This window comes from Homo sapiens, chromosome 15 (assembly GCF_000001405.40).
Source record: "Homo sapiens chromosome 15, GRCh38.p14 Primary Assembly".
Taxonomy (NCBI): domain Eukaryota; kingdom Metazoa; phylum Chordata; class Mammalia; order Primates; family Hominidae; genus Homo; species Homo sapiens.
The window spans coordinates 95,991,455-96,008,265 of record NC_000015.10 but is presented as its reverse complement, the minus strand read 5'-3'; the positions used below and the strand labels follow the sequence as shown (position 1 = coordinate 96,008,265).

The 16,811-nt window shown below is 38.2% G+C and overlaps 1 long non-coding RNA gene across 1 annotated transcript in view; it reads right to left on the bottom strand.

Annotated features, from left to right (window-relative positions):
- The window catches only part of LOC112268156 (uncharacterized), a 236,909-nt gene that overhangs the window by 219,078 nt on the left and 1,020 nt on the right, over positions 1-16,811 (bottom strand). The window lies entirely within an intron of this gene.

The window sequence follows — 16,811 nt, the reverse complement described above, 5'->3', positions numbered from 1 at the left end:
GCTTCCTGCTTCCTGTGACTTCTTTTCCTTGGATACCTGAATCCACGTAAACTGGGAATGTGAATCCTGAACCAGTTGTTGGTAACTTTAAATGTTAACTCTTGTCTGGGTACAATGGCTCACACCTGTAATTCCAGCACATTGGAGGGCTGAGGCAGGCAGATAGCTTGAGCCCAGGGGTACAAGACCAGCCTGGGCAACATGGTGAAACCTCATCTCTGCAACAAACACAAAAAGTAGCTAGGCATGGTGGTGCACACCTGTAGTCCCAGCTACTCCGGAGGCTGAGGTGGGAGAATCACCTCAGTTCAGGAAGTCTAGGCTGCAGTGAGCCACAGGCCACTGTACTCCATCCTGGGTGACAGAGTGAGACTCTGTCTCAAAAACAAAAACAAAAATACATTAAATCTTAGACTCTGGAAATTTAGGTTCTAATGTACATTGAATCAACCAGTATCCTTTGATGAATGTTTAACTTTCATTAATTCAAACACATAGAAGGGTGATTATCTTTAAGGGTAATACAAAGTTGCAGAAGGTATACACTCTGCCCTTAAACAGAGTATATTCTATTACTATTTAATGTGCAATAAAATGTGATAAGTACATTGGAAATGGTACAAAACGTGATGTGAATTCTGAGGCAAGAGAGATGGTTTCCACCATAGATGTCAGAGGACAATGCCCTTTTGTCTTAAGGGGCACCAAGAACTGGAAGATTTTGGTTCTTGACTTCAGAAGTTTTCTACATCATCTAGGAAGACTGGATAGAGAGGTGAGACTGAAATGCGGTCACACTTACAGGGAAATGTAATCAACCACTGTAAATGATGACAGTGGCCAAATTCTAGCTCCAAGGGGCATTCTGAGGGCATGTAGCAGGTCTCCTGTATGTAACTGCCAAGAAATTGATGAGGGGAACTGTGTCTTTGAAGAACACTTATTTCAGCAAATATTAATTATTTTGTACCACAGACTTCCATTGAGTCTACCATGTATCAAGGTGTGGATGCAGGACATGTGGACTAGAATAGGGACCAGAGCAGAGCAGAGCTGGTCAAAAGTGCTACACAGAGGGGAGGTTTTGTCTAGAATCTCAGGAAAAGGATAGACATGCATTGGAGAAGGGTGTGCTTTCTTGAAAGGATGTCACCTGGGAAAACTGTTGGGGTAGAAAAGAGCAAACGAAGGAGGGAAGATGGTAGGTGGGTTGACATGGCCTAGAAAGATGGTTCCTGACAGAGAACAGAGAGATGAGGGGATTCAGGGGTGGTGACTGTTCCCATTTTAAGCCACAGATTTGCTGCCAACCAGAAGGTGACATGGTCCTGCTGGTGACTTCAGTGAGTTACGTGGGTTAGGTGGGGATTGTTGGAAAATGGGAGGAGAGGGCATGCTTGGTCTACTGGGACAGTCACAGAAGCCAAGCCTTTTGTTTACAGGTGGAAATGAAGGTCTGCTGTTGTCAGATCTGACTTTTCAAGAAAAACAAAAACTATATTTTTATTTTATCTATTCTGATTTTAAATGTTGGCCATGAATCCAAATATTAGATCCTTTCCTATTGATACATTAAAAAGAAGAAGTAGGAGGAGGAGAAGGAGGAATTTGAGAAGGAAGAGGAAAGAGCACATCCCAGTCTTCCTTGGTGATATAGAGAACTACAGTTTGATTAATTTGGTTTTAATCTGAATTTATTTTTTGGTCTGACAGCATAAAAACGATTTTGAAAAATCCTTGTTGCTTCTGTGGGAAAATGAACAAAATTTCCCAGTTTTCCACTTTGAAAGATGTGCTAAATTATTCTATCTATTTCATCATGAATTTCCTTTGTGAGGAAGACATTACACATTGGAAATATATAGTGCTAAATACTATGCACAAAATATATTTTCAGATTTTATTCTCCTATGGTTCTGAATTTGTGTGTGTGTGTGTGTGTGTGTGTGTGTGTGTGTGTGTGTGTGTGTTGTTTTGCAGTCATGTATATGTGTGCTTGGTGCTTGCTTACTTGTATTTGTTTTGTTATCCCTATTATATCATCTGTGGTAAAACAATCTCCTCTGCTTTGTTTTTTTCTTTTATGCAAAACCAGGAACATGTTACTAACAAAATTACAAGCTGGGAATCTTCAAGTCACAGAATCCAACCCTACTGATGACAGAGTCTATAAACAGAGAATATCACAGTTGAATTTCTTACTAAAAAATGGGTTGCAGTGGATTCTGTTCAGAGCAGGGTGTTACAGGACTGAACTCAGCTTTATTTCAGCTGAGCATCCGTGCTCTTAAACCTTTGGGATTCTACAAGCCCCGCCTCTCTACTGACCAATGTCAAGCACATCCTCCTTTGATATTATAATAGTTTGTATCTTTGTCTCGTTATTAGTGTTTCTCAGAAATTAATTGATTGTTAGGGATTCACTGGTGAAGGCAGAGGAAGAGCAGGTGCTTCTACCTGGCTATCATGGAGGCAGTAATAACCATAATGATGGCTTGCTGCATCAAGATATGTGGCACCAAGTACCCATTTCAGCCCAAACAGATTGCAAATATATCCTTTCTCTTCAATCTTCCTATTCATTTGGAAATGCTTAGATCTAAAATTCAGCATAGGAATCCACGGATACTACCAATTAGAATAAGCCACCTTGCCCTACTAAAACTGCCACAGTGCTGTTTGTTTAAGAGATAATGATAATTTAACTTTGAAATAACCTTGTCATTGTAAAAAGAATTAAAATTATAACTCTTCCACAGTCTTGGTGTGCAGCTTTCTATAGACTGTGGCGTGCCAAATTTCAAGTAATATTCGTCTGTCGTCCCGTATCCCCAGGTCCTGGATAAAAATGAAATGTGCATTTCATAAGAAGATCCCAGTGAGCAGTAATAAGAAAAAGTATTCAATCATAGTCAATTGGCTAAAGCTGTGGGGATGGACACAAGCCACCATCTTCTTCTTTTATAAAAACACGAGTAAAAAAATTAAATAAAAACATTTTTCAACCTCCCACCAGATCCAGTTGGCTAGGAAAATTGAGGAAATTTTGTCTGTAGACATATAAAAATAGTTTTCAATGGCTTATTTTAGAATTAACGGAAGCAGCATCAATCACCTCAGCTATAATAAATAAAAATTCCAGCCAATGTAATATATATTTCTTTAAGCATAACCTGAGGTCATATCATATCAAAATACATACCTGATGCCATTGCTCCTTCCCTCCCCCCATTAAAAAAAAGTAGAAGATGCGTATTTTTTCCCTGAAATTTATGAAAAATCTGACAACAGTAGGTCTTTTCAGTGTTAGGATTTCTGTTTTCAAAATTGTCAATAAAACTGAAAACAGAAATTGCCCAAAGGACGTTTTGACTTTTAAAAAAATAGAAATAAGTAATTGTACATTTCTAAGTTTGTTAGACAGACTTTTGAATTCACTTTTTGGAAAGCATTTCATTAAGGAGAAACTATATTATGCTAGATATAAATAAGTCATAATCTCCAAAAACAAGAGTCTTCAAAGTGGTCAAACATATTTTCACATTGGCATACTTTTGCCTGCAGAAATGTAAAACACCTTCCAGAATTTTGAAATCTAGGAAAAACCTGGACTCCCCACACAGACGTGTTTTTGTGGAAATCTACAGTAAAGCTTACTTTTCCTTTTACCTACAAGGAAACCTTTACTAAGTTAGCATATTATGCTGCTCTGAAACAGTTGGGAACTTTCATTCATGCTGATTCACTGTAAAAGGAATTTCATTTTGTCTAAGTTCACTATAAGCAGGTGCCACTAACAACATTGGAAAAGAAAAACTCAATGGCTCCAGGAAAGTCCAACGTTTAAAAAATATCCTTAAAATAATAGTTGTTTAGAGAGACCTCAATGGATCCCACTGCTCCGGAAACTTCTCCTGGGTTGTGAACAATCAAAGATTTATTTGAGCTCTCTGCACACTGGGAAATGAAGACCCAGAAGCTCATTATCATATCTATTAAAAAGCAGAAACTGGGGTACATCTAAGAAAAGATGTATTACTTTTTAAACCGCACTGCAAACTGCAGACCAATAGGGACTTGAACTATATAAAAATACTCTCAGTAGTCGGGGGGTGGAGAAAGGGTGGGGGTGGGGACTCACTCTCCCAAACAGCAGGAAAATACCATGCCACCAAGTTCCATTGTTGTCATGGTTTTGGAAAGATGGCTCTATCAGGTTTTCTTGAAACAGGATTTTTGAAGTCAGACTTTTGGTTTGATCTGGGGACTGGCTGTGACTACTCGAATAACTTAGGGGACCATGCTCTAGAGGAGGTGAGGGAGGTTTGATGAGCAATGACCAGTTAAATTCTAGTTAACCCCAATTATAAACCTTCACCTTTGCTAATTGGATTAATTTGTCGGCAGACAATATAATCATAAAGTATACTAGAGCCAACTTTGTGCCACTTTACTACAAGATAAAAATCATTATTGTGGCCTGGCTCATTTCTTAAGACTGGATCTATAACCAATTTCTGCAAAGGTAGAACAAAGTTGAACTTACTGTAAAGTTGGAAGGGCCATTAATTATAGAGATTCTCTTTACAGCTCACCAAAAATATGCCCGGTAAGCAAATTCTCTCTCAATTAAAAGCTTTCCAAACTCAGGGTTTAATGAAATCTTAATTAAAGTCAATGGAAAAGTGATGTTCAGAAAAAAATTTAATGTGTCCTTTATTTCCCTCTTGGCCGATCTGAGCATATTGACTCTTTCTGACTCTTCCAATTTTTTAGTGTGTGTTGTGTACAGAAAGATATAATCCAGAAAAACCTGTTGCACTGATACAGCAATCCTCACCACCCAAACACAAGCAGTGCCTGCTTTCTTATTAAAATGGTAAAACATATTATCACAATGTTTCTAAATGTTCAAACAGACTGAGAAAAAAATTTGCCTGTACTATATGTTGGGCTTAATTTAAATAATAAAAATATAATTTTCTGTTTCTAATTCTGTTATAAAATCTGTGAATGAGACCGGTTTGAGTAAAATGGAACATCAATGTCAATCACGCTTATTTCCCTGTGGTGGAAATAAAATCTTTCAAAGTGGTCCAAGTTGAAGTGAACAGAGAATCTGTTATACTTGAAAATATGTTAATATGTCTGCAAAATATTGTGCTTTAGAATTGGCTAAAGGGCAAATAGCTATCGTCAGCATTGTCTGTGCCTTGGGTGAATTAGCACCCATCTGCCTAAATAGACACAAGGCTGCCAGTGTTATATACACACTTCAAATTACAAAAGAAATACTGTAGCATTTTCTATCTGTTGCAAAAGAGGTACTGGAAATTAGATATTCCAAGAGAATTTAGTAAGTCAACTTTTTTTTTGTAATAGGGGTACCTGGAGATTATTTCTCTTTACTAACAAAGCAATTTAGAGAAAAGAGACCCTAAAATGATGACTGTATAAATTAATTGTAATATACTATGTGTGTTTGAGTGTGTGTGTGTGATCTAGCTAGAACCAGGGCAACAAATGTTCTACTCTATCACCTGAACCAGAATTTGTCACCTGTTGACAATAGAAAAGAACCAAACCCGAGTGTTGGGATCAGGGCACAATAATGCATGTTGACAATAAATTATCAAAACAATAATCATGTTTAGCCAATCCCTTTGTGTAAAACTGTTATTATGATTCCAGTGCCAGCTGTCTGAAACTTTAATTTAAGTGCTTGCTTGAGGCGAGACATTTGGAATGCTAGTTTAGAATGTTTTATAGCTCAAGCAATATGTTTTACTAACCTCAAATACTGTGATGATGGTTTAAATGGTGACTATAATTTGTACGTGGGGGGCTCCAGGGTGAATTTTGCTTTCCCTGGAAAGTGTCTGCTGCATCAAAAATTCAGTCATTTCTGAGCTATCTGGAGCCGTCGATCCTAAAGGGCCCCTGGAGCTGCATCTACCTGCCTGCAGGTAAGCATTGCAGGTGGTTAACTTTTGGGAAGTTATTTCAAGTTGCCTGCAAGTAGGAACACTCCTCAGAAGCAGACATGTTCGATGGAAAGCATGGTGTGGAAGAGGCCATGGTTTATTGGTAGTTGAGTCAGTAAGCTTTACTCTCTTCCTTCATCTCAATCATTCTCTTAACCCCAGACATTCAACAAGAAGGCAAAACCATATCCTGTCAGGTTATCATCAGCACATATTCATGTTTTTCTATTAATGGATCAGCATTATGTTGGCATACTGAGATAATGATATGTTCCCCTTGAAACACAGTAGGTTCCAAGATAAAATCCATCTCTAAGAATTTTTGCAATTATCTTTATCATGCATAAGTGATGTGGACTATGAATTTTGGAAGGATGATGGCAGCTTAAGATGAGTTATAATTTATTGCTTTATATTGGAATATTATTCAAGGTGGTGTAATTGTGGAGATATTTGTAAAGTTAATATTAATAATATTATTTATGTCACTTTAGTACTTACAAAGCACCTTAGATTCATTAACTCATTATCATCACAGCATCTTTGTCATGATAAAATCTATTCTTGCAGTCATGGAATCAGAAGTTTAGAGAGGTTATATAAGATCAACTAGGTCAGATAACTCCAAAGACCGAGGTCCAAACCTGGGCATTCTGAGTCACCAGCAGCACCATAGAATTTAAAGCCTTTTGCATTTTGCTCTTATTCACTGTATCATCAAAAGTATCATCAAGTAACCTTCTATGGACTTTGTTTTTCGTTTTACAGTCCCTAGTGAATTTGAGTTCTAAATTCAACATCTAAGTTTCTAGGAAAAAAAAATATTTCAACTGGAGACTCCTAATATGTAATAACTGTTCTGAGGGTATAATCAGTAGTTAATAATTCTGGGGAGTAATTTGACACCTAAAATACAAACCTCATTGTATCATCTTCCAATATGAAAATGATTTAATTAAGTTCTAGAAATGTCTCCTGAAATTCTGCAAGATAAAGTCTGCTGGGGGAGACAGGTAGGAAAACATACCAAAGCTTATGGCAAACATCTACTAAATAAATACTTCTCTGGCAACAGTCTTTGTCAAGCTGATTGACTCAGACAAGAGTACCTGCCTCATAAATTATCTTAATAGAAGAACTGCACATATGTGCATTGGTCATATGTATGTTCAGATGCATTTCTGGAAAAATAATGTGTATAATTCAGCCCCCAGCACAGTGCCTGGCACAGAAGAGAGGCTTCATACATATCAGATTTATGAATCAATATCAGTATATTTCATTTTAGTGAAACTGTCAAGCCTTACCTCTTGAAGGAATTCCAGAGGAAATGTTATATAAAGCAATAACCACTTGCTTTCTCCTCATAGTATTGGTTTTATAATTCCGGATGTTTACATGTGAATTTATAGTGAACTGCATTTGAAATTACTATGCCGAGAAACAAATTCTCTACTTAATTGGCATTTGCAATGCAACTTCTCAATTAATTTGTATTTTTTTAGAGAGGCAAAGGTATCATTTATATAGATTTTTATATAGATGATGTTTACAACTTTAATGATTCTGTGAAAATGTTGTTTTTAAGAAACTAGGCAGAAGGGACATAAACAGAGCCCTGTGAGCATTTTCTGTGTAGACTGAATGAGTTAAGTCAGAAAGTAGCTGATCAATAGACACTCAAACCAGAAAACATTTTGCAGGAATGTTACATTGTTCAGAAAATCAGGCTAGGGTGTACTTAACTTTTGCATCCTTCAACACACGTTAGACCCATGACGATGGAACCAGATTAAAACTAAGTCAACTCAGTTATTTACAACATCAGTGGCCAGTTTCCACACAGCCGAATAAACCAGTCATTTGGCAATACAAAGTGAATATTAATTTGGTGTAGCATTTTGGAACTGGAATTTTGAGAAGAAATTGACATGCATTATTTTCTTGCTTGGTCTAATATTTTAAGTTGATTTTCATGCAATAACCAATGTTGATAATATAAAAATGTTAATTTTGTTTACCATCAGATGGTAAGATTATGAATGATTGTGTTTCTTTAAATGCTTTTAATGTGTTTTCCATTAGGATAATGAGGATTTTTTAAAAAATTACAGCAACATCCTTCTACATGTCTCCATATGCAGTCACCAAGTTTTCCCTTTACGGCAATCCAAGTATCCATTCCTCATCTTTCTTTCTGATAACATCCATGCTGACTCAGATCTTCACGCCAATATTTTGAAGACTACAAAGGCCTAGTGAAAAGTCTATATTCTATTGCTTTCTTTCGTAAAGGAAGGCTTATTTTCCTAAAATAGCATTATATTCCTTTTATCATTCATCCTCCTGCTCAACGTTTTATAGGCCACGTTTGTTTTTTTCACCAGCTTTCTAAGTAGAGTTCCCCCATTCATTTATCTGTTCATTTACCCTTTCGTGCAATAATATCATGTGATCACCCCTACAATCTCTAGAGAGTAGGTATTGTGTAAACTGCAAATAACAAGTGATCTCTGTGCCTCTCAAAAGCTTTGTAATACAGTTAAGGATACAAGGCACCTGAAAATAGCTGCAGTGTAGTGGTCCTGGAATCAGATTGCCTGAGGAAAACCCTGGTGCCACCACTTATTCGTTATATGTTTGGACAACTTGCGTAACCTGGCTGTGCCTCAGTTCATATCTGTAAAACAGGCAAATGGTATTACTTACCCCAGGGGATTATTGTAAAGATTAAATGAGATAATACATGCAAAACCTTCGAACATCCTCCTGGTTCAGTGGAGCACTCAGCAAAGTTAAATGGCATGTGGAGGGAAGAGGAATAAATAAGTATAAAACAAACAAACAAACAAAAATAAACCAAAAGAAGGAAGGAAAGGAGAGGATTGAGGTCTTCTAAAGCTCATATAGTCAAGTTATTCTTTCCACCAGTGGGTGTTCCCAGTAGGCCCCACTGCCAAAGTGGTATTGGAGCTGTGGTTCGAGGTATTGATGAGAACAAGATAAATGGGAAACGCAAAAGTGCTGCTTCAGAGGAGTCCCCATCCCTCCTCACGGCAGGTCACGCCTACATGGCTGTCCTAACAAAGCTTCCTCTGGCCAAGAAGCTGATGGGTCTCTTTCACTTGACTCATAGCTTTTTTTAGGGATGACTTTGTTGAGGAGAGAACATTCAGACCTTGCTGGGAGGCATGACATCTGACTTCCACTTCCTTTGCTGACCTCTTTATGTTACTACATTGTCTTGAAAGAATATGCCTGTAGGTCTGTTTTCCCCTCTGGACTGTAAGCTACTTGAGGGTCAGATCCCCTGTCTTTGCAGACCCAGAACCCAGTGCACTGTCAAGAACAAAGCAGACACTCAAGAAACGCACACTGACCTGAAGAGTATTGCAGGTGATTTGGTTATTATAAGGAAATGGTACAATGTAAGTCACCATAACCTGGGTCATTGTGTGGGATTTCCCATGGCTCTCTGCCTTCTGCAAGCCAAGTTCATTCTCTTTGGAGTGAGAGTGACTCTTCGAATCCTACTGCTAACTAACTAGAGAGAATGCTGACAGAGCTCCTTTGGAACCTTAAAAGGAAAACTACTCATCATCAGAGGATGGGATTTTCTCTTTTCTTTATCTTTTTTCTTTCTTTTTTTGAGATGGAGTCTCCCTCTGTCACCCAGGTTGGAGTACAGTGGCACAATCTCGGCTCACTGTGACCTCCCCCTCCTGGGTTCAGGTGATTCTCCTGCCTCAACCTCCTGAGTATCTGGGACTATAGGCAGGCACCACCACTTGAGGATGGGATTTTCTATGCAATTTTCACTTTAAGGTGTCAGCAAAATTTAGAGTCAAGAAATTTCTTCTACTGGAGGAACATCACAAGTTTTGCCAAATTGAATTGGCTTTGAGTAGAGCTCAAAAGCTCCAGACATGAGTATGGGCAGACAGGTAGAGGGAACTTTCTAATCTAGACAAGGAAGTTGAAAAACATAATATGAAAGAGTTCAAAGGTCGTAAATCAACTCTTCTTCTCCTTGTGTGTTTGCTTGTACCAGTATACTAGAGAAACAAAACAACTGTTTTTTTTTTAAACAATCTTTACTCAGAAATACACAAACATACTACACACAAATATCTCAGCAGGATAAAAGATTATTTTTAAATAAAGAAACATTTCTATCTCTATTATATTGTAGAACCAAATGGAGTTCAAGTACATTTTTCCTACTTACCTTACTTTCATATAATGCATTAAATGAGTCACTAATGCCTCTCAGACAGAGTCAGAAATTGCATTCCTGAAACTGAGGTCAAAATCTTATTGAACAGTTGTAATTCTCAGATTGATTTATATCATTTCTTTATTCACGTCTTTTTCATTTATTTCTTTTCTTCCTTGACCCAGAGAAGAAGCCACCTGCTAACAAAAGCCCCAATGCCATTGAAACTCTGGGTGAATAATAGTGACCCACATTAGCAAGTTGAAAACCCTAACTCTTTCTACACTGCAGAGTAAAAAATTATAGAATAAAAAATAAAGAGGTTATCAGTCATGCAATTTGTCTTCTCTTGCAATGCAGATTAAATGGTTGTAAGTTCACTGGACTCCAATCTACTTGACATCTGTCAGAAGGCTTGAATCATCTTTCTTCCATTAGCAAGAGTCTCCATTTCAACAATCCCCTCCATATCCATATTCATGTCAGATATAATTGTCTACTTCTTGTCAATCTTTCCTGTTAATGGGATCAACAAGTGCTGAAACCAGGCATCTTTCTCTTCCTTATGTTGCAAAGAGAAAATGGTGCCTCTTTTCAGGGACAGAAGAGCAAAAGATAAAAGGGAAAGATAGAGCCTGGATTTTTTTGTCATCTAATGTTCTCTTTTATTTGGTTTTCAATTCAGTAGCTTCCTATTGTGCCAACCTCTAAGATATAGAATTGCTTTGCAACTAAAATGCTGCAAAGGATATGATTCCAAAGGCTCTATTTGTGAGCGTGATCTGTCTCACCACAAATGGCTATGGTAGATACTGAAAACTTTTGAATGTGCAAAACGAGGCACTGTATAAATGTAATTTGCCTTTGAGAAATGATGGATAGATTTTTGCATCTAGTTTCAGTGCAAAGAAGTGTCCAATTATGATATACTTGACCCATTAGCCCAGCCTCAGCTACTATGCAGATCTGTAGACTTAAACATATTTGTAGTAAATCCACAAATTATGCATCTGTTGTAGACTTCAAAATGTTGTGAGAGGGGATTAAAATGAAATTTCCTAATCCATACGTCTGACTGTTTTAAATTCCAATTGATCTGTGACCAATCCTGAATCCTTTCAGAGGAGACAGAAGTCAGTTCTTTTACTTAAACCAATTGTCCCAGCCTTTGGTATGTGACACGGAACTCAAGGATTTGTTTTAGATCACCTGTTCTTCCCTAGATGCATTTTTGAATCTAAGAATCTGGTTGAATAGTTACAAAATCAATAGCCTATGATAAAGGGTGTGGTTAGAAGAGGAAAACCGCGTGCTCAGGATGCATTTTGAGACAAAAGGCCAACTTTAACCACAAAAGCCCTGTGGGTGTTCCTTACGCAGAAAATCTGTCACTAAATCATGCTCATGCTTTTTATGAATGTTCTGTGCTTTTTTTTTTTTTTTTGACATAGAAGTCATGATAATGTGGCTAAGGGATTCTTAATCAAGCAGTTTTGGTGAGTAACTACAATTTAAGTATTGTCTAGTTTTTTATTCATTTGATTTCTAGATTCATTCTAATGTGTTTATAGTTGGATCTGTATCTTCAATTCATAGAATTAGTGCAAAGAAATGAATGAAACAGCTTGGGGAAAGCAAACATAGCATGTCTAGGAAACGCTTTTTGGTCTAGGAGAGGTAACCTTAATATTGACATAGTATATATTATTAAATATTATGTTAATTGTATGTTATTAAATATATATTTATTATACATTCACATCATTATATGCATATTATATATAATATGTACATACAGTATTCTATATATAGCTATATATGTACATATATACTGTATATCTCTTAATTAAATGTATGTGTCATATAATGTATATTTAATAAAATGAATCTTCTTTTAAGCATACTGCAGATATACAGTCAGCTCTCCAACATTGTGCACAGGTTTATCTCGGCAATGAGTTGCTGTGAGTGGTGTATTTCTATAGGCCAGAATTCTCCCACCACAATCCCCCTCAGTCAAACACATATACTCTATTTTAAAATGGTTCTGCTACTTTTGTTCAATTGAATTTGTTAAGTGCCAAATCACTGAGTCATGCCCCCTTTTTCCTATTCTGAAGTCTGTGCCAAGCTCTGTCTCTGAGGCAAAGCAGAAATAAACACCTTTCACTAACACTTTACTCTCATGGTAAAATATGAGGGCATCCTCTCTCACTATCCGCAGAGCAGACTCGGAAAACATTGCTTTCTGGATTTTCTGCTTTTCTCATTCTATTTTCTCCCAGAATCTGTTTGCAAAACATTTTATGGAATTGGCAAGTTATTTGCACTGCTTTTGCATTGCAGTCTGCCTAATTCAATTGCAATTATTTGTAAACTGCCGCCATAACTCTTCCTTGGCTAATGTCTGCAAACTGTTTACTAAACAATAAACTTAATCATGCATTCATTGTTGCAAATGTCTCCAAATGGCTTCAGAGTAGAGCTGACTTGACATTTTTGCCTATTTGCAAAGTCATGAAGGATGTTTTCTGAGCAGACACCAATTTCTATAACATTTAGTCATTCTAAAGTATCTCTTCTGATCTATTGCAAATTGAGATGGCCTCTTTTCGGGGTCAGTAAATGTGCTGTGCCAATCCTGGTAGATCCAAAGCAAACTGGGCTGAAGATAAGGCACTGGTAGCAATGAATGAAGAGAAAGGACGACATCATGGCACAGGCAATAGGTTATTAAATATTTCATGGGTATTCACTTTGCATGTCAACCAAGTACCTGTTATATTTAAAACTGCAAAATTTCTTCAGAGGTACATGCTATGAGGACATGGTTCTGTCCATTAAGACTGTGTGTGGGCATGAGAGGAAGAGAGAAGATGAAAGTAATGCCTAATTTTCAAGCCTAGAGATCTGATGGAATCACAGTGCTATTAATAACAGTAGATAAGTCAGGATATAGAACTGACCTTGGAAGAAAGGTGATAAATACAGCTTAAAATATTTTGATTTGAGCCATCGATAACATATTTTTGCACAACAACTTCATCAGAAATGTTTATCAGGTAGTGTGGAATGGAGGTGATACTGGTTTGAGAATATCAGTGATATGGTTGTGGCTGATACTGTGGTAATAAACAGGGTTGCTTACTAAAGGCGAGTGGAGAGGACAGGCAGGTTCTTGTGGGGGAGGGGGGTGGGGAGGGCACTGGCCCTTTTAATGGAGAGTAGGAAGATGAAAAATTAGTGAAAGGTACAGAAAAGAATGATAGAAAGAGGCCCCAGTTGTTCTATGGTCATGGAAATGAGGCTGGCATTTCAACAGGTCTGGGGTGGTCCGTGGAGTGGAATGGACTGCTGCAGCTATGTTGAGGACAAAATACCTAGCATCTTGAGTTCCAAGATGCCGAAGTCACAGAAGATCCAACTGAAAATGCATAAGCAGATTCAAGGGTGTGAGTCATCTTGCTGGGAGCTAGGATGCAGGACGCTGATGAAAACAGTGTGAGCACCAGTTGCTGCCCACACTCTGGGGGATATTAGCTCTGAAAAGGATAGAGGCTGAGAAGTAGCCAGCAAAATTTCTTAAATCTGCCTAATTTTCCCCTACTTCCAAATCTTGGCGCAAGTCATTCTGTCTAAACCATCAACACCTCCTCCACCAGCCTCACTCTCTGCTTATGAATTTTCTGACTAAATTAATGGAAAACTTAGAAGCAATCAGTGGAGAACTTCCACACATTCATCCCTATGTCTGTATCAATAGTCAGTGCTATGGTTTGGCTGTGCTCCCACCCAAATGTCATCTTGAACTGTAGCTCCCATAATCCCCACATGTTATGGGAGGGACCTGGTGGGAGGTAATTGAATCATGTGGACAGTTTTTTTCCCATGTTGTTCTCGTGATAGTGAATAAGTCTCATGAGATCTGATGGTTTTATAAAGGACAGTTCCCCTGCACTTCTCTCTTGCCTGCCACCACGTAAGACGCACTTTTGCTCCTCCTTCACCTTCCGCCATGATTGTGAGGTCTCCCCAGCCATGTGGAGCTGTGAGTCCATTAAATCTCTTTTTCTTTACAAATTACCCAGTCTCGGGTATTTCTTCATAGCAGTATGAAAATGGAATAACAATCAGTCTACTTTTCCTGTTGTTACTATGAATAATTGGTCTACACCGCTGAGTCAAGTCAACCTCTTCTGTGCTGCAGCCTATTCCTTCCTGCCTTCCCAAGGACATTGTGCCAGCATTTTCTTCCTCTCTCCTGTGCCATCAATTCTCCCTTGTTTGTACACTGATGCTCGAATTTTCACATCCTGAAAACATCCTCTCACGACTCCACATTTTTCTTCATGTTCTGATTCATTTCTCTGCCTACACATGCTACTTCCAATTTCTCTCCTACTCTTTTTGGATTCGTTCAAATCAGTCTTTCATGCCTCTCCTCTTCACTGAATGAGATCTTATCAAGCTCCCCAGTGAGTTCTACAATGCTAATTCCACAAATCAATTCAGAGTTCTCATACTACACATTTGATTATTCCCACTTCTTAAACTCTTGCTTCTCTCGGCTTCCAGAACACTGCTTTCTGATGGTTCTCTTTCTACCTCACCGGACACCTCTTCCATCTTGCTGCTAGTACTTTGCCCCATTTTCCTGACGTCAGAATGCCCCAGAAACTTCTCTTTTAACTTCTCCTCATTTCCAGCTACATTGACCCCTATGTGATCCCATCCTGCATTTGTATTTAAGTATCATGTAAATACTGATGACTCTAAATCATCTCCAGCCTGGACTTGTACCTGCAAATTTAAATATTATAGATGTACTTGTCATGTCCACTTGGATTTCCAAACAATATCTCCAACTCAACCCTTCTAAAACCAAACTCGTGGCTCTTCCCTAACCACCACTCTTCTAAACTTGCTTCTTCTCCTGTCTTTTTTTTTTTTTTTTTTTTGAGGTGGAGTCTTACTATGTTGCCCAGGCTGGACTCAAACTTCCCAGCTCAAGCAATCCTCCCACCTCAGCCTCTTGTGTAGCTGGGACTACAGGCTCATGCCATAACACCTAGCTTAGTCTTTTTTTTTTTTAACCTTTTTTTTTAACCTTTCCAGTTGTCTAGGCAAAAACAATGTAGATAGTCTTGACTACTTTCTTTTCTTCATGCTTTCAAACTAATCCATCAGCAAATACCATAAACTGTCTGTTTGAAATAATCTAGCACCCCACCACATCCACTGCCACCATCTTCGCCCAAGTCAATTTCATTTCTTGCCTGGACTATTATAGTACCTTCTACGTACCCTCTCTGCTTCCACACTTGCCTACCCAGAGCGTCTTCTCAACAGCAACTAGAGTGACTTTTTGAAAACATTGTTTATGCCAGTCTTCTGCTCAGAGGCCTCCAGTAGTTTTCTAAACTTCACCAAAGGTAAAACCCAAAGTCCTTGCTTCAATGGCTTCAAGATTCTACCTAATCTGGGCTCTGGCAATTCTTTGACTTCATCTTCTCTTTCACTATCTTTTGCTCACTCTGTGCCAGCTATACTGTCCTATTGCCTGTTCCTCAAACAAACTAAACCTCTCAGGGTATTTGAATACTCTGCTTCTTTCTTACTGGTATTTGCTTCCCCTCAAATCTGTATAATTTGCTCTTTTACTTTTAAACATTTCTTCTCAAATATCACTTTATCATGAGACTTTTCCTATAAAAAATAACCTCCACTCCTATTCCTTACTCTCCTTTATTTTCTCCCATGTCGTCATACAACCTACCATATTTACTTGTTTGTGTATTTATTGGGTACACCCAATAAAATATAATAAGATCTATGGAAACTGGAACTTTATTTTCATCACTGCTTTATCTTCTACTTCCACTACTTAGAAAAGCACCCAATAAACGATTCTTGTTTGATAAACATTCGAATGAGTAAGAGTGAATGGAATGAATAAAAGTTGATTGGTGTCTAGCACCACCCAGAACATCATACTGATTCAATAAACAAGTATTGAAGAATGAATGAGTGAGTTTCTAAAATTGAGGAGACAGGTACCCCCTTGTAGGCTGAAGGCAAGAAGCAGTGGGGGAAAGGTAGATCTTGCTGAGTAGTTAGTTGAACAATATATAAATATGTAATTATCAAGTAAGCCCTAGAAATAAGAATACCAGGATATTTTGCACCATCAGCAACATGATAGAATGTGGCCCAAGTGACTCTCCCTGTGCAGGGTATGGCATGGAGAGGGATTTGGTTGTTCAGGACCAGCTGATAAGAGGGATTCCCAAATCAGAGGTTATGAAGAAGCTGAATCCAGGAAATCAACCAGAGTTAGAAGATAAAATGAGTCACCAGAACCAAGGATCCAGAACCAGATTATGGAAGCACCACGGCTGGCCCTAGCTCCTTGGGCAGGTAGCATTTAAAAGCCAGACATGGAGCAGACAGCAGACAGGGTGGTGGGATTCCCCCCACAGAAGCCAATCTGCTATACATGGAGATTTCTGACATAATAGATAATGTCTTTTAGGCCTAAAACCCAGGCTCTGATTTTGGCATTTAGGTATGGAGAAATATAGAGCATGAACATGCCACATGTCCCAGCTTGA